Source organism: Homo sapiens, chromosome 1, assembly GCF_000001405.40.
Source record: "Homo sapiens chromosome 1, GRCh38.p14 Primary Assembly".
Lineage (NCBI taxonomy): Eukaryota > Metazoa > Chordata > Mammalia > Primates > Hominidae > Homo > Homo sapiens.
Window position 1 is genome coordinate 146,241,827 of NC_000001.11, and position 22,030 is coordinate 146,263,856.

Below are 22,030 nucleotides of genomic sequence, written 5' to 3' on the forward strand. Positions count from 1 at the left end.
TCTATCTTGTTATTTTTGTTATTCTCATAAAAGGCTTTCAATATAGGTGTATTGAATGAATGTTGGGAACATAGTACACATTTGATAAATAATGATTTGAGTAGGCACTTGCTGCTTACCCAGTGGAACAGGCAAGCAGGCAAAGAGGAGGAGGAGGACACAAAGAGAAACTATGTTAATGAGCAAGAATCAAATGTGCCACCTCACAGCCTCCTGACTCCCTGCCTTAGAGGGTGAACCACAGGCTATTTCCCATGATTCCCTCTTCTTTGATGACACAGTGATTTGTCAGCTCTGTGGACTGGAGAGTTATGCAGCTGCCTTTCTCGCTTTCAACAAAGTACTTGCTGGAGGACTTATCCAAAGCTGAGAAGCAACACCTGTGGGGACTGGGCAGGAAACACTTTAGTAGTTTGTCTTGGTGCATGCACCACAAGCAGACAGCCATTTGCCTTCCATTTAGTTTCTGCAACTGAAGGAATACTGCGGGATTCTCTGCCGCTAGGAAGAAGAGAGCCGCCCCCCCCCCACCATCCATTCTTCCTCTCTCTCTCTTCCTTAGTCTTACCCCTGCACATTCTGATTGTTGTGGTGACCAGATCCTGCAGAAATAAAAGAGGCCTGAGTTCCTATGTGGCTGGGCTGTATCCTCCTCCTTCTCTAATAAAGCTATGGCATTAAGGAAGCCCTATCAACTGATGAGCTCAGAATGCCCATGCCTTTTGTCACCTAGCCTTTCCCCATCTCTGTGCAAATGGCTACTAGAACAGCCATTTATAAAGTGACAACTATGTGTTGGGTGTTTTGCATACATGATCTCATTAGATCCATACAACATTCCTGCAAGAAAGATATCTTTATCTCCATTTAACAAATAAAGATACTGATGCTCAAAGAAGTCAAATAACTTATCCAATGTTGACAAGCTAACAAGTGGTAGGGGTCAGATTTGAACCTATGTTGCAACCATTTTAGAGTCCTATATGTTTTCCATTATTTATATCATCTTGGAGAACTAAAAAAGGTGAAAGTTACAGAGTCAGCCAGTGTCATAGCAGGAATTAAATTCAAGGTGTTCTGATTTCCAGGGCAGCCTACAAATATCCACCATATTGAAAGAACTGTTTGAATGGATATGTTTAATGTTCCAAGAATTTATGAAACTTAAAAATATATGTTGATACTACAGTTTGAAAAGGACCCAGAATTGGAAAAGCTGCTTGTTCATGAGTGTCCCTTGTCTCTACTGTCCTGTAGTCAGTGCCCCCTCAAAGTTGGATGCATCTGAGTGGAGATGCTTTTCTGTCACCTAAAGTCACACATTTACCTTTGATCCAGACCCTCCCCAGAAGCAGTGCTTTTGAAATCTCTTCTCCTCTTCTTTTTGTTTGACAAAATATAAATGATAGTTTATTTCTAGAACGATGCCAAATTCAATAAAGCAATGATGGAGTTGTGTTTCGTTTTCTGGTCAAGTTGACACCATAAAGTGGGTTTTCCTGAATATTTCCCTGTTCCACTGGTGTTCTTGGCATTGTGAATAAACAGAGCTGGTGATAACATCCATCATAGAATTAAGCACATTGAGTGGGTGATAAAGTCAACAAGAAGCTGAAACAAGAATTACCACGGATAAGCTGCCAAGAGTTGGCTGTAGATTCTAAGTGGACACTGTGGCTCATTCATCTTCACCCTTCAGCTTTCCACCCCAACATCATCCCTGCCTCAGCACTCATGACAAGAGTAGGAAAGTAGGAGAGAAGGAAAGCACAGGGATCAAGTACAGGGGACAAATACATAGCATTGATCTGCCTGAGATAAAATCTAAAGACGCAGTAGTAAATTCTTAATGAGTACTGAGAGAGAACAAAGAAAAATGTTGTGGGTTTTGTTGTTGTTGTTGTTGTTGTTTTTTGAGACAGAGTCTCCCCCTGTCGCCCAGGTTGGAGTGCAGTGGAGCGATCTCGGCTCACTGCAAGCTCCGCCTCCCAGGTTCATGCCATTCTCCTGCCTCAGCCTCCCGAGTAGCTGGGACTACAGGCGCCCGTCAACACACCTGGCTAATTTTTTGTATTTTTAATAGAGGCGGGGTTTCACCATGTTAGCCAGGATGGTCTCGATCTCCTGACCTTGTGATCTGCCCACCTCGGCCTCCCAAAGTGCTGGTATTACAGGTGTGAGCCACTGCACCTGGCCGAAAAACACTTTTTAAGTCAAAATGAACCAACTAACAAACAAAAGTCATATTCCAGAAGTGCAAGTAGACACAAATGATCACTGGGCTTCTTTTAAGCAACATTCTGTTTTCTTGTCCTAACCTATCTCAAGCTAAGGAAATTCTAGGGTCTATTGTTCAAAGACTTGAAATGTTTTCCTTGGATTATTCCCACTCTTATATTTTTCTTGCCTCTTTCCAAAAGTGCGTTAAAAATGTCCAGGTTTTTTAACTCATTAAGATGCTCATCAAGCATCTTAATGAGTTAGTCACGATTACAACTGCATCTTTTAAATTACCCAAACTGTTGAAAGGCTGCCATGAAAGGAGCTTCTACAAACAAAATCTGGGCTGTATTTCTCATTATCTTATGTTGCAAAAAGTGAATGAGGAGTTACTTCCAAAACAGTAATTAGCATAAAGGCTGCTGAAGCAGAGGAGAGATAGGTGCGCTACTGTCTCAATGGAAAATGTCACTGTTTTTTCTGCAAGGAATATGTACATTACTACTAAAGGAGAAGCTCTTTGCTAACAAATGTGAAAGGGTTTCACACAGTTCATGGCACATAATAAGTGCTCATAATTTGTTTGCTTCATCGGAATTCTCTCTGTAGTCTACTTCTCAGTCAAATAACTGTGACTACCTCCATTTCCTCACAATCCAGTCTCCTTATGTTCCTTCTGTTACAGGAATTGCAGCCTCATCACCTATCACAATATTTCTCAACCCTTTTCTTTTCATTATTGCCTTCCTAAGGAGGCTTTTCCGATGTTTTTAAAAATTGCTCTCCTCTATCAAATTTTGGTACCATAGTGTGATGGTTAATTTTGTGTGTCAACTTTAGTGGGCTACGGATTGCTGAGATCACTGGTAAAACATTATTTGTGGGTGTGTCTGGGAGGGTGTTCTTGGAAAAGGTTAGCATTTGAATTGGTAGAGTGAATAAAAGATCACCCTTGGCAGTGTGAGTGGGCATCAAGCAATCCCTTGAAGGCCTGAATAAAACAGAGAGGTGGAGGAAGCACAAGTTCACTCTCTCTTCTGGAGCTGGGACATCCATCTCCTCCTGCCCTTGGATATCAGTAGTGTTTCTGGTTTTGGGGCCTTTGGACTTGGACTGGGACTTACAGGATTGGCTCTCCTGGTTCTCAGGCCTTCTGGCTTGGACTGGAGTTATAATACACCAGTAACTTTCCTGGGCTTCCAATTTGCAGACAGCTGATCATGGGACTTCACAGGTTCCATAATTGCATGAGCCAATCTCTCGTAATAAATCTATTTCTGTGTATCTATATATAATATATGCTATCAGTTCTGTTTCTCTGGAGAGCCCTAATACACGCAGATATATTGTGATATCGGTTTATGCATTGTATGTATATCTGCACTTTGTACATTTAAAAAATTAAGTTGTTTTTTATCCCCCAAGATCAATTCTCACTCCCATTGAGAATGTGCAACCTATCAGACCACAGCAGACTGATTCAGGACACAGCAGAAGCAGATCACAGAAATAGATGCTAGACAATTGATTTGGGCGAAAATCAGTGCAGATGTCCAGCATAGAAGTTTGTCTAGATCAGGCTTTGTAAAGGTAAAGACAGACAGTTGGCCATACAGGTTAGCCAAACAAGACACAGGTTGGAGAATACAGCTGACAGCAGTGTTGATGGAAGATAGGAGGGCAAGGTTCAAGGCAGGCAGAGATGTGAGAAATATTTGTCCACTGGGTCAGAGAATGCTTTATATAGAGAAATATCATCATCCAGAAAAGTTCCGTGAAAGAGAAATTATTCTCAGTTCTGAAGCCAGATTTAGACATTTTGCCTTTGTTCCTCAGGAGCCTGGACCACCCAGCCAACTGTGCCCTATTGATGAAAATCTCTGATTATTATAGGGGAATACATTATGTTGGCTTCTGTATTCCCTGAGAACCATCTACATCTCCTAGTACTTTGAAGTCGTGGTATCAGATGAAAGAACCAAGCCTTCCAAACTGACTTGGAGCTGTGCTGAGGTGTTCATGGCCTCAAGCATTCAAGCAAGTTGATTGGATATGAGGTGTGATATTCCTTTTCCTCAAGTCATTTATCCTCTGGAGATCCTAACCTAACCTAATCTCTCCTAACCTAAAAACAGGAGCAGACCCAGGGTCCTGACTGGGCATTCTCATTATGCTTCCTAAAACCATTAGGATCTCTTCGTGGTCACATCCAACAGCCTTTCTCTTTCTCAGGCCTGCAGCTCACTGCATGTGGTGCTGCCTCTCACATTCTCCTCTTTAATTAGAGGTCAGCCACTCTAACTCCAGCCTTCATCACACTCTGCCTCTAGGGTCTTCTGAATGCTGTCTTTGAGGGTCTTCTCAGTCTCTTCCTTCCTCTTTATCTTTTATCAAAGGCACTCTTTTAATCTTTTGGTTCCTTTCTGTTGCCCCTCCATTCTCATCTGTTTATATGTTCGCTTTAAGGTCATAAACATTATTGAGTGCTTGCTATATGCCTAGTACTGATATAAACAAGATATGGCTTTTGTGCATTCTTGTGATGGAACAGATACATATATAAAACCAAGCAAAACACAATGTGAAATATGTAATACAGATCTGTACAAAATGTCTTAGCAACTCAAAAGAGGAAGTGATGAATTCTGTCTTGAGACAAATAAAAGGCATTGCAGAAGGAAAAAGTTTTGATTTGTGCTTTGAGAATGAATTAGGGATTTATGAAAAGAAAAGTTGGAGGAAGGGCATTACAGACAGAGAGATGAGGATGGGATAGGAACAGCATGACCAAGGAAGGTTAGAAAGGCCATGTGACTGGAGGGGAAGCAGACAAGCGTGGGCAGGGAGAGTGGTAGGCAACGACCCTGCAAAGTTAGGAATGCACCACAACTGTAGTCACCATTTAAACCTACATGTCTAGTTAACATTCAAATGGATCATTGCACTGCCTGGGACATTCATTTTTAAATAGTATAATTTAGCTCCTACTACTTGCTATATACCATGTAACATGCTTACCGCTGGTAATACAAAGATAAATAAGCTGTCCCCTCAAGAAATCAAAATATAATAGAGAGGTAGATGTGTTTTAAAAGTTATTATGTGCAATACAAGCCAACCCATGCAGTGAAGGTAGTATGTATATGACACAAAATAGAGAGTGATTAGCTCTGAGCAGAACATGTTTCAGAGAAAAAGTGATAGCAGAGCTTTAAGAGACTAATTGGGGTTGGGTGGTGCAGTAAGCAGAATAATGGCTTCTCAGAGATATCCACATCCCAAACTTGTAAATGTTACCGTACATGTCAATGAGGACTTTGCAGATATGACTACGTTTAAGGAAGATGGGAAGATTAGATTATTCAGACGAACCTGATGTAATCACAGGGGTCCTTATAGAAAAAGGAGGCAGGAGTGTCAGAGAAAGAGATGTGACAATGAGGGACCATCAGCCAAAACCAAAAACAAACAAACAAAAACAAAAACTGTGGTTAGAAGCTGGAAGAGGCAAAGAACAGTGTCTCTCCTCCAGCTCCAGGAGGTATGAAGGTCTGCCAATGCTTTAATTTTAGCCTCATGAAATAGCCTCATTTCAGACTTCTGACCTCAAAAAGAGTAAGTTTGTGATAATTTGTTACAGCAGCAACAGGAAATGAATACAGATGGAAAAGCAGCCAGGGTGCTGGGAGTGAGAGCATTTCAGGCAGAAGGAATAGCATAAGCAAAGGCACAGAGGCATGAAATAACATGGCAAACCCTTGGGGCAGGGGTTACCAGTTGTTTAGTGTTGGTCTGGTTTAAGAACCACCAAGTAAGGAGCAGAAGAATGCACTGGCATGCAAAGCAAGTGCCAGATGACACAAGGCCTGGTAAGGAGCAGCCCTACCATGGAGCTTAGGTATGCTGAAGCTTAGAAGGTAAATCAGGAGCCATTTCATGGTTTCACACAAAAAAGGAAAAACACTGAATTTTCAATTTTGGAAGAAAAGCTTAATGGGGAAGAACCCAGGGCAGGGAGACCATTTAAGGAAGCTATAACAAAGTCCTGGAGGGACGTGGTGGGGCTTGAACTAAAGCAGTGTGAATAGCAGGAGAAGGCAGGGTAGCGATATTTAGGATTCAGAGAGTGACCAAATATGAGGAGCAAGGAGAAAGAGAAGAGTCAAGGATGACCCCACATTTCTGATTTGGACTTTGATGAATGTCCATGTGCTTACTGACATGGGAAAAACTGGAAGTTCCTCCCAATATTTCTTAGATTCATATTTTCTGAATCTCTGTATCCACTAGGCTAATCCACCCATCAACCTATGTCTAGACAGTCTTTAAAGTCTTCCTAGCCACTTTTTCTGATTCTAGCCTTTACCCTTCTCAAGCTATTCTCCACGATGTTGTTAGAACAACTAATTCAATATTCATAAAATATTTATTTAGTGCCTGCCATGTTCCAGGTTCTGATATAGACTCTGTTCATATCATAATGAACAAAACAATTTTAAGAATAAGTTAGCTTGCATTTAATCTAGAAGATCCTTATAGAAGGTAATTTTGGGTAGTTCCATCTCCAATTCGTATCTTCTACAATGGCTTCAAATTTCCCGTCACTTTATATCTAAATTTTTTGGTGTATGCTCAAGCTCTCTGTCAACTTCCTTGCACCAAACGAGCTGTAGGGCCTCTTAACTTACAAATAGGTTGTGATCTAAAGCAGTGATTTTCAAACTATCTGTGTGGTTAATTTTTTTTTAATTTCCAAGCTTGTGGTCTAAGTGTCTTCCTGCGTATGACTAGGGCACAGGTCATGCCACCTGTGACTCACTATGAGAATTCCACAACACCCAGACCAGTCCATACCCTGCTCATTGACATGAGTCCACTGACAATGTGCTTGTATGTTACAGCATTCTCGATTTGCTCTAAAAATTTCTAAATGCTTACTCTCAATTTTAGCACCATCCACATACCACATTTGAAATCTCCATACTTAGTAAGCCCCTTACTAAAACACTTTTGAGGGATTTGGAACACATTTTTTATAAGTGCCTAATTGTATCATGATGGCATTTTTTTACTTTTTTTTTTTCCTTCAACTTTTAAGTTCAGGGGTATATGTGCAGGATGTGGGGGTTTCTTACATAGGTAAATGTGTGCCATGGTGATTTGCTGTACAATTCATCCCATCACCTGCTTATTAAGCCCAGTATCCATTAGCTATTCTTCCCGACACTCTCCCTCCCCTCACACCCCGCTCTGACTGACCCCATCATGTGTTGTTCCCCCTATGTGTCCATGTGTTCTCATCATTCATCTCCCACTTATAAGTGAGAACATGCAGTGTTTGGTTCTCTGTCCCTGCGTTAGTTTGCTGAGGATAATGGCCTCCAGCTCCATCCATGTCCCTGCAAAAGATATGATCTTATTCCTTTTTACGGCTGCGTAGTATTCCATGGTATGTATGTACATTTTCTTTATCCAGTCTGTCATTGATGGAAATTTAGGTTGATTCCATGTCTTTGCTATCGTGAATGTGCTGCAATGAACATAAACATGCATGTATCTTTATAATATAATGATTTATATTCCTTTGGGTATATACTCAATAGTTGGATTACTAGGTCAAATGTTATTTCAGCCTCTAGCTCTTTGAGGAATTGCCACACTGTCTTCCACAATGGTTGAACTAATTTACACTCCAACCAACAGCATAAAAGCATTCCTTTTTCTCCACAACCTCGCCAGCATCTGTTGTTTTTTGACTTTTTAGTAATAGCCATTCTGACTGGCATGAGATGGTATCTCATTGTGGTTTTGATTTGCATTTCTCTAATGATCAGTGATTTTGAGCTTTTTATCATATGTTTTTGGCCACATGTATGACTTCTTTTGAGAAGTGTCTGTTCATGTCCTTTGCCCATCTTTTAATGGGGTTTTTTTTTTCTTGTAAATTTGTTTAAGTTCCTTGTAAACTCTGGATATTAGACCTTTGTCAGATGAATAGATTGCAAAAATATTCTTCCATTCTGTAAATTGTCTGTTCACTCTGATGATAGTTTCATTTGCTGTGCAGAAGCTCATTAGTTTAATTAGATCCCATTTGTCAATTTTTGCTTTTATTGAAATTGCTTTTGGTATTTTTGCCATGAAAGCATTTTTTTTTTTTTTTGGCTCACCCATTAAAACCTATATTGGCCATGCTAGCTTAGGTTTTTCCTGTAAACAGACCTTAGACTATGTGGAGGCAGGAGAAGGAAGAGCTCTGGGACGACTCTTTGGTACACCATTTTCCTTTAAAGAATGAATGCTTCTTATTGTGCCTTCCTTTTCATGTTTTTCTTTTACTTCTCCTTAACCATCCCATTTCATGCAAACGAAGATTAAAATTAACGTGAAAGACTCTCAAATTTTTATCAAGTTCTTGCCAGAGGTATTCCAACCACTTCAATTTTACCAGCCCTAATTAGATAAAGCTATTTAGCATAAATCATAGTTGCAATTCAACCTCAGGCTTATGAACTGGCTGGGACTAAAAAAGAGAGGGAGCCTTTTGTCTCCGATTCACTGGCTCAACGCTGGGGCTGGCTTATGTTGGACTTCCTCCAGCCCCCAATGAGTATGTTTGTAGCCTTATATTACAGTTCTTTCAGGACCTTTTTTTCAATCTATATCCTTTCTTTGATTTTTAACACTACAAACTCTTTCTTCCCTGTGAATAAACTCTTTTTCTATGGCTCTCATGACTCCACATTGGATTTCTTTGTTGTCTCATTCTCCTCTCTCTCCTCCTTAACCGAGGGCCTCATTCTAGACCTTCTCTCGCCCTCACATGCTCTCAGATGCTCTCATCCTGTCCTATGGAATCAGTTATTACCTAGAGAGACTCATGCCCTCAACTCTTTCCTGAATATGAGACATGTAATTTCAACTGCTTTCTCAACATTTTCATTTAAGTATCTCGAAAGCATCACAAACTCAACTCGATGTTATTTTTCTGCATTCCATATCAGGACAACGCCATCTGCTTAAACATTCAAGATAAACACTTGGGATCATTTTTGACTCCTCATTTCCCTTTATTCCCCATCTTCAGCTGATTGCCAGTCACCATTCCACCACTGCTGTGTTTATTTCTCCAATCATTCTCATTTTCTCCATCTCCACTGCCTTGCCTCAGGCCCTCATCAGTTTTCACCTGGACCATTCTCAGTTCTCTGAACCCTCAGATCACCAATGCCCCACCCAGACTCTAAGATGCAGTCCCACTCCTCCCTGGAGCAACCTCTCCTGGTCACTGCATTGTCCTTTGTCTCTGACAGGCATATCCAATCATCCCTACTCTTGAATACTGACCTTCAAAACTCTTCTTTCTTTAGCTCTTTGTAATATAATCAAAACTCCTTTCTCAGCATGAATTGCCAGGCCTTTTAACACACAGCCCCTGACTAACTCATAGCCTCTTCTTCTGGTTTAACAATAAGAATAATAACAGCAAACCACCACATCCCACAGTCCATCCTCTCAGGTATCCTCAAATTTCCCAAACCTGCCAACCTTTCCACCACTTCTCAGGCCCCTGTACCTTTGAGCATTCTATTCTGGCGACCAGCTATGAACCAACCCTTGCCCTGCCCTGATGTTCCTCTATTTGGTATACATGCTTCAGCTTCCAAGGCAACTCCTCTAAGCACAGTTCACTGCTCCTTCTGTTGCATTCCCATAGCATGATGTAAGGGCCTGTATGGATGGTTCATTCAATGGAGTTGTTCTGAGCCAGGCACTGAGCTAGATTCTAGGGGTACAAAGATAAAGATGGCCCTTACAAAGATGGCTCTTAAGGAGCTTATCTTCAATTAGTAGAGAAAGACATAAGTGTAAATGGCAAGTACATTTATGTATTTTAAAACAATCGGCCGGGCGCGGTGGCTCATGCCTGTAATCCCAGCACTTTGGGAGGCTGAGGCAGGCGGATCACGAGGTCAGGAGATCGAGACCATCCTGGCTAACACGGTGAAACCCCGTCTCCACTAAAATTACAAAAAATTGGCCGGGCGCGGTGGCTCACGCCTGTAATCCCAGCACTTTGGGAGGCCGAGGCGGGCGGATCACGAGGTCAGGAGATCGAGACCATCCTGGCTAACACGGTGAAACCCTGTCTCTACTAAAAATACAAAAAATTAGCCGGGCGAGGTGGCGGGCGCCTGTAGTCCCAGCTACTCCGGAGGCTGAGGCAGGAGAATGGCGTGAACCCCAGGGGGTGGAGCCTGCAGTGAGCCGAGATTGCGCCACTGCACTCCAGCCTGGGCGACAGCGAGACTCCGTCTCAAAAAAAAAAAAAAAAAAAAATACAAAAAATTAGCCGGGCATGGTGGCGGGCGCCTGTAGTCCCAGCTACTCGGGAGGCTGAGGCAGGAGAATGGCGTGAACCCAGGAGGCGGAGCTTGCAGTGAGCCAAGATCACGCCACTGCACTCCAGCCTGGGCAACAGAGCAAGACTCTGTCTCAAAAAAAAAAAAAAATCAATGTTACAAAGCACTATAGGTGCTGTAGGAGAAATATGGGCAGGACAAATAAACAAAGGAAGGAATGGTTAATTCTGTCTGTGGGGTTGGAGGTGGAAGGAGAGAAACCTAAGGAAATCTATTACAAGAGAGATAACCCTCCTGGAGGGTAATGAGAGGAGGTCATTCCAGGCAGAGAACAGCATAACAAAGGCCTGGCAGGATGAAAGGGCCTGCTATATTTAGGGAAAAGCCTGCTATATTTAGGGAAAAGCAATTGGTTCTCTATGGCTGGATCCTGAGCATCAGCATAGACCCAGTTAGACAGAAGGCTGGAGAACAAGGGGAAAGCTTTACCTTACAGGCAACAAGGAGCCACTGCACGGTTTTACACAGGGTTAGATACATTACAATTTGTATTTTCAGAAAGATCATTCTAGCAACAGTGTACAGAGTACAGTAAAATATTGGAGGGTGGTCTACATGTGTACTTTTCTTATTGGGTTGTGAGCTCCTAGATGTCAAGTATTGGGGCTCTTTAATTTCTATCCTCCCAGTGCCTAATACATTTTTTCATCAAGCAATAAGAGAGAGGATCTTCAGCCTGGCCAACATGGTGAAATCCCGTCTCTACTAAAAATACAAAAAAATTAGCCGGCTATGGTGGCAGTATGCCTGTAGTCCCAGCTACTGAAGAAGCTGAGGCGGGAGAATCTCTTGAACCCGGGAGGCAGAGACTGCAGTAAGCCAAGATTGCACCACTACACTCCAGCCTGGGCAACAGAGTGAGACTCTGTCTCAAAAGAGAGAGAGAGAGAGGATCCATGATGTTGGTGCTGGCATGTGGGTCTGGGACACAGGGGAATGTAGCTCTAGGCCAGGCTGTGCCAGCTTGGTGAAGCATTAGCAAGTCACTCTGTGCTTTTGTTTCTTCATCTATAAAATGGTGGCCTGCACAAGATCATCTTTCAGTTCTCTTTTGCTCTAACGTTCTGTAATTGTATAAGGGAGGTTCCTTTTTCTTCCTTTTTTTTTTTTTTGTTTGCAGTCAATATTTGGTAATACAAATAAAAGTTTACAGAGGTGGATGTCAAGAGGTAAGTGCACTGTGAAGCACAGGTCGGCCAAAAGTTTACATGAGCTATTTCCTGAAGAGTGGGCAATGACTCTGGTTCAATTATTCACACGGTAAAAGGATGCATTTTTCCTGTTGTGGGAGTACAGAATTGTCTCCTCAAGTGTTGACTCCTTTTAAAAGGAAATAAACAGAACTTGGACTACTCTTCTTCTTATTATTATAAGGCTTTAAGTCTTCAAATACATTTTGAAAACATTAGAAGCCTGAGAGACACCCAGCAGTTTTGTCCACCTTAAGTTAGTTCTCTATTTATTAATTCAGCATAGTACACAGAGCTCTACCAGGTTCTCCATGTCCCTCTCATAACTGTTGCCTGTCTTTGACTTGGTAAAATATGCTGTGACATTTCTGCTTCATCAGCATATTACTGGCCTGATCACCAGAATTTAAAATTCAGGATCTCCAGCAACAGAGCCAATTTCTATTGACCACCCGCTCAAAAAAGCACAGGTTTATTTTAGCCTCCATGCTATTTGATCTTTACCTTGATGATGCTATAGCCTTCAACCCTCTTGATAAAAATCTTTTTTTGCTGATATATTACTATCTTTTACCCAGAAGTTTGTTTTCTTAAAGAACAAGTTTTCTCAATGTACTTCACTACCATGAACTGTCTGCAATGATATTGAAATGGAAATATTTAAATTTAATTTGTTAGAGATTTTGTGTTCAACTTTTAAAATTTAATGATGTATTAACCTTTTCCTAAGAAATAATATTTACTGTCTAGTATCAAGCTCAACGATATAAATCTAATTTTGTAATATAATATCTATATTTATTCATAAAACCAAAGAAAATTCTCACTTTGACCACATTTTCTTAATAAGCTATGTCCCTGGGTTTCTTTTTACAGTAAAACATAGCTGCTAAATTTATGCCAGAGCATAACTTTCCAGAGTGGCTTGTAAACCAGCCACAGTAATTTCAAGATATTTCAACTGAGTTCAACCTCCTTTATAAAAAATGTTTAGAGGAGGAAAAGAGACTGTTATTATTATAATTTGGAGAACAGAAAGAGAAAGATAGTGGTGACACCACCCATCTCTTATTCTCTCACAGACATTGTCATGCTCCAGGTGGGGTGGGTGGTGATGCCAGTAATCCCCTGGGCTTTGACTTAGCTGAGCGTGGACTCAGTTTTCAGTTGCTTGGCTTGTTCTTGAAGAGTAAGCTGACAGGGTAGATTTGGTTCTCAGCGTATCATCTAAACAAACAAAACATGTAGGGTAGTAGTTCCACCTCCAGTGAGGGGCTCAGCCTTCTTACAGAGCACTTTTCTCTACTCTCAGCCTCCTGTGCTTGAGAAACAGCAGAAACTGGGCCTGGCTGGGCTAGCTCTCCGAGGCTGCTATACAAAAAGCCTGTATTCTAATAGACTCATTAACCCCAAAACCTATTCAGAGCACCTAACTTTCATTTGTTGAACTGCACATGAAATATATTTGGGGATATAAGGTTAATATTTCTTAGGAATCAAGAGTCTCCTCGCTAGTTAACTTTAACACAACAGAAAGTTCTTTTTTTTTTTTTTTTTTTTTGAGACGGAGTCTCACTCTGTCACCAGGCTGGAGTGCAATGGCCCGATCTCGGCTCACTGCAACCTCCGCCTCCTGGGTTCAAGCGATTCTCCTGCCTCAGCCTCCCAAGTAGCTGGGACTACCGGCGCCCGCCACCACGCCCAGCTCATTTTTTTGTACTTTTAGTAGAGACGGGATTTCACCGTGTTAGCCAGGATGGGCTCGATCTCCTGACCTCGTGATCTGCCCACCTCAGCCTCCCAAAGTGCTGGGATAGCAAATTTTAAGCCAAAACCACTATCTGAGATTTACACAAAGCATAATTTTAGCTCCTCTTTTGTTTCATGAAGTCTAAATAATATTCTCTAGAAGAATTCCCAATATGCAGGCTGATATTTACTATTGCTTTCTTTATCTTCGAAGTGAGATGATGCCAAAACAATTGTTTTTGAATATCTTATGCAAGAAATAATAATGGAAAATAGAAATGTTGTCACTCCGGATAAGTTTTTTCCCCATCCCACAGAAGTTGGAAAAAATAGCATGAAAAGAGTCACTGAAAGGCTAGAATATCACAAATTAATAAATAATAAGTCTGAGTGCTTTCCCATTCACTTATTTTGCCTGTTTTTTGCCCCCCCAGAAGTACCAATTGTGAAAAGCTAACCTCATATCAAGCCTGGGAGAAAGAAGAGGGAATTGTCTACTGACTTAAGAAAAGTGGCAGATAAAAATAAAACATGCATTTTGTTACACAGGAAGATTTTAATGTATAGAAATAAATTTTATGATGTTTATTGAACATGAATTACATTGGCATACCTCGCTGCTTTTGCATACTGACAACTGGTACCTGGTAAAAACAAGTTCTTGAATGAATGACCCTCCACCTTTCATTCTCACAAAAGTAGCTCTCCTTCACTTCTTTTGGTTCTCAAAAGGTTACTATCCAAACAACTACCTCTTGTGAAAAAAAGAGCGGAAGAAGATGAATTGTTTTTAAAACAAAGCTTGTCAGTTTTAGAAACAAACTTAACCAATTTCAGTGTGTAGTAGGTAATCATTCAATAAATAAGCGCCAAACATGTAAACAGGTCTAATTGCTGTTGTGATAAGCCATCTACTTGAAAGATGCATATGGAGATAACTAAGTCTGTAGTTAGCATGAAGCATGTTAAGTAAGATTAACATGAATGACAAGTGTGGCCTCCAGAGTCAGATGGTCTGAGTGTGAATCTTACTGTCAATCACTAACTGTGAGATCTTGGGCAATATTTGTGCCTCAATTTCCTCATCTGTAAAATGGAAACAATAACTCATAGACTTTTGTAAGATTTGAATGAATTAATAACTGTACAATGATTAGAAAAGTAAAAGTACCTGATATACAATAAGCACTTAATAAATGTTAAGATTTAATTACATGGATTGATTCTGCTTTAAAATTCTTTGTAGCAATGAAATGCCCTAAATTTTTCATGGTGTATGGGACTGAGACTGAAATAATAGACTACAGTTCCGGAAACTTTTTAAAGTGGCTCCTAAAATTATCTTGTCACCCAGGTGCAGTGGGTCACACCTATAATCCCAGCACTTTGGGAGGCTGAGGCAGGTGAATCACCTTAGGTCAGGAGTTTGAGACCAGCCTGACCAGTATGATGAAATCCCATCTCTAGTAAAAATACAAAAGTTAGGCGGGCGTGGTGGCGGGTGCCTGTAGTCCCAGCTACCCGGGAGGCTGAGACAGGAGAATTGCTTGAACCTGGGAGGCAGAGATTGCAGTGAGCCGAGATCGCACCATTGCACTCCAACCTGGGGGCCAGAGCAAGACCCCCTCTCAAAAAAAAAAAAAGTAAAATAAAATTATCTGTCTTCTGGAATACTTATAATTTACATTAAAGCAGACATTGAAATCTTTTCAGCCAGAACCTATACCTGTAACCATATAGCCAAAGTTACATTTGTTTAAAAGTGAATTTTCATTTTTGCTCCTCCCCTTTTTCATTCTCCTATTCCCCCCCCCCACCTTTTCTACTGGTGTAGCATTTTTTTCTATTGATGTAATTTTGATTTCCAGTTACAGTAAAGACACTTGACTGGATACCATACAAGAGGCAACTATATATATATATATATCTGTGTGTATGTGTTTGCATGTGCGTGTATGTATATATTCTATATTAAATAGGCTGTAGAAATCTTAGTATTACATACAGCATTGATACTAGGGAAAACACATTCCACAATGGCAAATAATTGCGTATTCATTTTTATTCTTCTCAGTGAGACAAGGGCCTGCGGTTATTGATTAGACCAGCTTTGTCTTTAATTCCCTTCCAGTAATGAAGAGGAATACTCTTGCCTGAGAGAACAGGGTGGTCTTTCAGGCCTACTTAAGCTGGGTGAGATGGAGCACACACCCCAACCAGGAGGTGTGGAGGTTCACTGCCAGGACACCCTTATGAGTTAGGTAGTTTACCAAGTGTCATGTCTTAAAGGGTTATGAGTGGGATCATCTCTCCAGATTATCTGCTGCACTGACTGACCTTAAATCACTCTTGCCATGATTTAAGTTCCTTATACTCCACTGTGGCTTCCCCACTGTGATTTATGGTTTGCCAGTAAAAAGTAGTAATCCAAAGTAGTAATAGATCATGTTCTTTCCCCTATTTGCAGCCACTCCTATTGAGTGATTTGAAATACACTTATTTTATGTGATTGTCAAGCCCGGCAATACAGACAAACTAATGCTTTTAGGATTAAAAATCAAAAGCCCTCCCCTGCAAAATGTCCTAACTGTATGTCTAGGAATTACTTAAAACATAAAATTTGCTTATCAAATATAAACAATACCAGGTTCAAGATAGAAAATAAACACAGATTTCAGGTAAAATATAAGTATTGTATCAGCCAGGGCCTGCCATCCCCAACTTGACCCCATTGCCCAAGCTGATGTCTGCCTCTTGCAGACGGCCTTGCCCAATCCCTGTGCCAGTGAGAACCATACCTTGTTCTAATCCAATTCTTTCTCCAGAAGAGAGAAGAGAAATCAGGAAATAGTTTATTATTTCAATTCCCAGCACCTAGCCCAATGTCTGGCACAGTGCCTAGAATATAAAGAGCATTCAGTAAATATTGATTGAATGAACAAATATGCTGTCACCAGGCTGACCCCCCACCACCTGCCTCAACAGAGCCAGTATCCAGTGTGATCTGGGATGGATTTAGCTTCCTGGGGCTTCCCATATGCATTAATCTTCTGTTTCCCTATCTGCCCCTCACATGTGTGGCTGACCATCCTACCTGGCCCTTCTGATTTGGATGGTCATCTGCCCTGGTTCTTTCTCTAAAACCCCTTGGAGTACCACAGTGGAGTCTGCAACACCAGCTAATGGGCCAGGGGGTGAGAAATGCCAAGGGAGCCAGACCTTCTTACTTGGGTCCTATAATTCTTTTTTTTTTTTGAGACGAAGTCTCACTCTGTTGCCCCAGGCTGCAGTGCAGTGGCGCCCAATCTCAGCTCACTGCAACCTCTGCCTCCCGGGTTCAAGTCATTCAGCCTCCGGAGTAGCTGGGACTACAGGCACACACCACCATGCCTAGCTAATTTTTGTATTTTTTAGTAGAGACGGGGTTTCACCATATTGGTCAGGCTGGTCCTGGACTCCTGACCTTAGGTGATCCACCCACCTCGGCCTCCTAAAGTGCTGGGATTACAGGTGTGAGCCTCCGCGTCTGGCCCCTATAATTCTTTTTCCCTAAGCCAAAGCCTTTTTCAAGGGTCTCTTATGTTGCCTGGGAACCTCATCACTAACAACTCTGAGTCCTAATGTTGACAACCCCTGCTTCCCAAAGCTGTGCACTGCTCCCTGGTCCATTCTTTGAATACTATTGCCAGAATAGTATCGTCTCCATATTATGACTCAATTTTTACTCTTTTTGTCTTAAGGCATTTTACTCTCATGTGTTGTGCAGTTATAATCCAAGTATGAAATCCAATTAACAGAATTTTATCATAGATGTGCTAGAAGCTACAAGGATTTGGTCTGTTTCTTTCTTAGTTTTCAGTTAGCCAATCTTTTCTGAAAGAAATTGAAGCCACCCTCCTCTTAGAAAAACAATCCTTCTTTCTTCATTTTATTTTCATGGGCTGCTTCTAGGAGTATATTGAATTCTGCCTTCCATATTTCTAATCAGGCTTCACAGTTTCTTCCTTTTCTGTCCCTTTCTCTCTGTTCCTATTTCTGCCATATCAACTAAGGCTTTCCTTAGCTCTTGCTTTACCTATAGCAATACTACCTACTTTGTCTTCTTACTTACTACACCAGTTTATATTGGCTCTGATCGTTATTATCTATGGGGGCTGAGGCAGGTTGCTTTCACTCTGATCCTCAGTTTCCTCACCTGTAAAGTGGCCATATTAGAGTATGGACCTTGTAAGGGTGGTATAAATGTAAGCAAATATCCTTGGTTCTCCTGAGCCATAAATCCAAATGTGATCATGTTAATTAAAAATCTTCATAGTTCTTATCCTTCCCCAAATATTTATGAGAAATTCATGAAATGGATTAACTCAATAAATATTGAGCACTCTGTGTGAGTCACTGATGTGGGCTCTGGGGACACAACAATAAACAGACAGACCTGGACACTGCTTTCTTGGCATTTGCTTTTTGGGACAGGAAAAACGATGATTAAAAAAGAAGAAAAAGAAACAAAAATGACAAAACATGAGATGATGATAAGTGCTATGGAAAGAAAGTCGGGGTAGGCAGAGGGTAGGAAGGCAGAGGGGTTGCTCGGTTTTACATAAGGTGGTCAGGGAGGGCCTCATCGAGTAGGTGTTTTTGTACAAAGACATTTGGGTGTCATTGGTGGACAGATCTTACCTGTGTTCTTAAGCCAGTGTTGTCATCATGTGTATTGTTATAGTTAGCCAGACACCAAGATGCTGGCACTGACAGCACCACTGTGAGCTAAAAGTCCACAAACGGTGTCAGCGTGGAGCCCTGCACAGTTACCCTAGCCAATAATGCTTTTGAAAAACAGGAAGTAAGAGAGTTGACTTTTTCAGCATTAATGCTCAAGGTAAAGTGTTATGACTGAATTAACTGAAATCAACTACTATTTCCTTAACACAACTTGGATAAAAACCTTTTTCTGCAATCACAGCTGGCACTGTGGTGCCGGTTTTATGGGAAATTGAGGGCTATGATAGCCCCTGTGATGTCTGTCAGCATCCTCTTTCAAAGTGGGAAAAGAAAAGCTCTCTTCCTTAATATAACACTGAGTTACCAGTTACTGGGCGATAGGCCCTAGAGCATTAAAGAGTTTCATGGCTCTTTCCATGACTCAGAGGCCCTTCTTTGTTTTCTTCTGGGAAGACACATGCAAGGAAGCTGGGTTAGGCCCTTCCCTGTGACAGTCAGACTTACCACGACCTTCCAGGTCTAAAGCCCAGTCTTACCGTTACAAACTCCTTCCTCAACCAACGGTGCTCTCTCCAGGGGCCCCACCATTCCTGCCAGCACTCTGCCTACCTCTGGAACTGTCTCCAGACATGCCCATGAATGCTGAAGACCCTACTGAGGCAAATATTTCCATTTTGCCCCCAGCAAACTTCTCAGCCCCCTTATAAATCAATGGATGCCAATCATTGCTTAAAGGGAAGAGACATTGTCTAATTCTGCATCACAGCCATATCTGTCTGAATTCTGACCCATCTGGGACATTGTATTGCACAAGAAATAGAAAAATAATTCATGAAGTTCCTAGCATAATTCTTCTGTTTAGTAGGTATTCAAAAATTGGTAACTATTGTAATTACTTAGGTAGTAGTTTAATGGGCAATTGTAAACATATTGTTTATAATTTTTGTTTTTTTCAAAATGTTTTACAAAATCATGTGTTATATAATAAGAAGCAAATTCTTTCAAAAAAAATAAAACACACACACACACACCAAACTCTTGACACATAGCTGTTTTCTTCCCCTCCTTTTCATCTAAACTTCTCAGAAAAGTGTCTTGCACTCACTATTTCCACTTCCTCAACTTGCTTCTATCTAGCTTCTGCCCCGATCATTCCTCTAAAAATTGATCTCACTGAAGCCACCAGCTGCTTTTGAATGTTCTTCCCTCAGGAGTATGTTGGTGGGTCTGGGAAGGGAAGGCACCCTCAGGTAAATAATAACCCAGAGCAGAGTGGATTGAGTAGAAGGGAGAGGACAAGGATACAAGAGGTGAGGCAATGTCATCCAAGTTGAAAGAATGGTGCAGAACCAAAGTTGGATCCAAACACTCACCTTGTCCAAGAGCCAGGCGTTCCAGTTAGAAGTCTGCTCACCTGAGCAGAAGAGAGAGTCCAGAAACAAGCCAACTCCAAACAGGTAATAAACTGAAAAACCAAAGTAGTCCCAGAAGGAAGAGTGCAAGGAGTTGGAAGGCCAAGAGGAATTCCACATTCAGCAACTTACCAGCTGCATTTGGCTGGGCTTTCCTGGGAATATGTGATGAAACGTCCAGATCTACAATGCTATCTCTTTCAGAAATGAGATATGTCAACACAGTGCCTGCCACACCCAACTTCCTCTTTGAGATGAAAGTGCCCCACCCAGAGCCCCCTGCTTTGAGAAGCAGAGGTAGGTTGTTCTTTGCCCAGGGATGGCTCCTGATTGGACCAGTGATTGGCCCTTGACATTAGGGGCTGCCTTCCCAAAAACCAGGGCTTGAGTGGAAAAGGTAAGTTTGATCAATCAGATTCTCTCCTTCTGGGATTTGAATTGGGAAACATGGATAGAAAGAAGCAGTTAGCCATGGGAGCTGAAGCTGAAAGGATGGCATACAATGGAGTGGAGCCATGGAGGATTATAGCAAACCAAAACTATGAGGAAGCAGAACCATGTGATAAGAAGGCAGAATTTATGAATAAGCAACAATTCTGAGGTAGAGAAAATACATGAAAAGTAAACAGAATTTTTTAGTTGGAATAAGACAGCAAGAAGCAAACCTGCAAAGAGTCGCAAGAAATGAGAAGTGGTGCACAATTGTCATTAAGATCCTATCATCTGGCTCAACTAAGAGCCAGTTTCAGATCACCCGGATTTACTAAGGCTCCTGTGCTCTTCATCAGATTTACCCCAGCTTTCCAGGTTTCCATGCTGGTATTTCTTGGGCTCCTACTATGAGCTAGGCACAGTTCTAGGTGTTTGGGATCTAAGGGCAAATGAAACAGGAAAATACTTAAACCCCTCATAACTTGCGGCAGGGTCTCTGTTTCAAAGGGCCAAGTTGAAATAACTACTCTTGCCTTCACCATTTCCCATGGTCCAGTTGGTGTCATTATGTTGTCATTATGAGTCTACACCCACTTTGGCATGCAGTTCATATATATCACCTCCACTGCTAGGGTGGGTAACTGGAGAATCAGGAAAAGAGAAAATAAAAAACAGAAGTTGGGAGATGGGACATGAAGGAAGTCAGATGATGTATGATAATGGCAGCAGAGTGGCTGAATGCCCAGGCTTTAAATTAACTTGCGTTCAAAATTTTGCTCTATCACTTATTCATTATGCGGCTTTTTTGGCAGGTCAGTTTTCTCAGCTGTGAGCTAGAGATAAAATAGCATTCTCCTCATTGCATTTTTTGAGAATTAAGTGAGAAAATATATGCAGAGCATTTAGCGTAGTACTTGGCCCATAGTAAATGCTTGATAAATGGTAACTATTTTTGCTGATGCTATTATTATCAGCAATCCTCTAGTTTTCCCATTAGTTGGATAGAATGAATGGGCTGGCGGGGAATTAGATGGCATCCTATGCTCAAACCTCTCTGAAGGCTGATGCCAGCCATAACACAGTAGGCTCATTAAAGCTCCTTCTAGTTGGTGCATTCCTTCCCGGGTACTGTCTAGCTGCAGGAATATCAATAATACCAAGAAGAGGGCCAGGCACGGTGGCTCACGCCTGTAATCCCAGCACTTTGGGAGGCCGAGGCGGGCGGATCATGAGGTCAGGAGATCGAGACCATCCTGGCGAACACAGTGAAACCCCGTCTCTACTAAAAATACAAAAAATTAGCCAGCCATGGTGGCGGGCGCCTGTAGTCCCAGCTACTCGGGAGGCTGAGGCAGGAGAATGGCGTGAACCCGGGAGGCGGAGCTTGCAGTGAGTCAAGAGATCGCGCCACTGCACTCCAGCCTGGGCCAAAGTGCGAGACTCCGTCTCGAAAAATAAAAAAATAAAAAACAATAATAATAATACCAAGAAGAGGTGTAAAAAAAACACTAAGGACAAAAACCTTTGTATGCAAAAAAGCAGTTCTGGAGGGCAGGCAATAATAATTAGTGAAAGCAAAGTGTGTAGCAGTGATATTAGCCAGAGCAGTCAGTTGTGTGGGGGAGGCAAAAAAGCACATTTGTTTCTTAAGCACTACTTTTGTCACCTGTCTAGGGGTGGTGGGTATGTGGATGTAGACCTGATAGGCCCAAACTGAGGCACAGCTGAGGGCTGTGGTTGGAAAGCAGTGCTTTGAGAGACCATGAAAGTAGAAGCCCTCTTTTACCTATCAGGGTATAAATGACTGGAATGGGTGGAGGAGCAATGCAGGGAGGGAAGAGGGCAGAGTCAGGGAAGAGGTCAAGAGGGGCAGACCTCCCAA

At 41.7% G+C, this 22,030-nt stretch overlaps 1 long non-coding RNA gene across 1 annotated transcript, besides 1 other annotated feature; it reads right to left on the bottom strand.

Moving 5' to 3' along the window:
• Window positions 10,658–11,188: an enhancer, noted in NCBI's record as "OCT4-NANOG hESC enhancer chr1:145185134-145185664 (GRCh37/hg19 assembly coordinates)". NCBI's record gives its function as "activates a minimal SCP1, AML or CMV promoter by ChIP-STARR-seq in primed H9 embryonic stem cells {active_cell/tissue: H9 hESC(primed)}" and the evidence as "EXISTENCE:reporter gene assay evidence [ECO:0000049][PMID:30033119]".
• On the bottom strand, window positions 11,476–19,934 carry LOC124904401 (uncharacterized). Its single transcript, XR_007066571.1, has 3 exons — window positions 19,849–19,934; window positions 16,381–16,480; window positions 11,476–13,060 (listed from the first exon to the last, which is right to left on the bottom strand). It is a non-coding gene; the product is annotated as an uncharacterized LOC124904401 (long non-coding RNA).
• Between the last annotated feature and the right edge of the window lie 2,096 nt (window positions 19,935–22,030).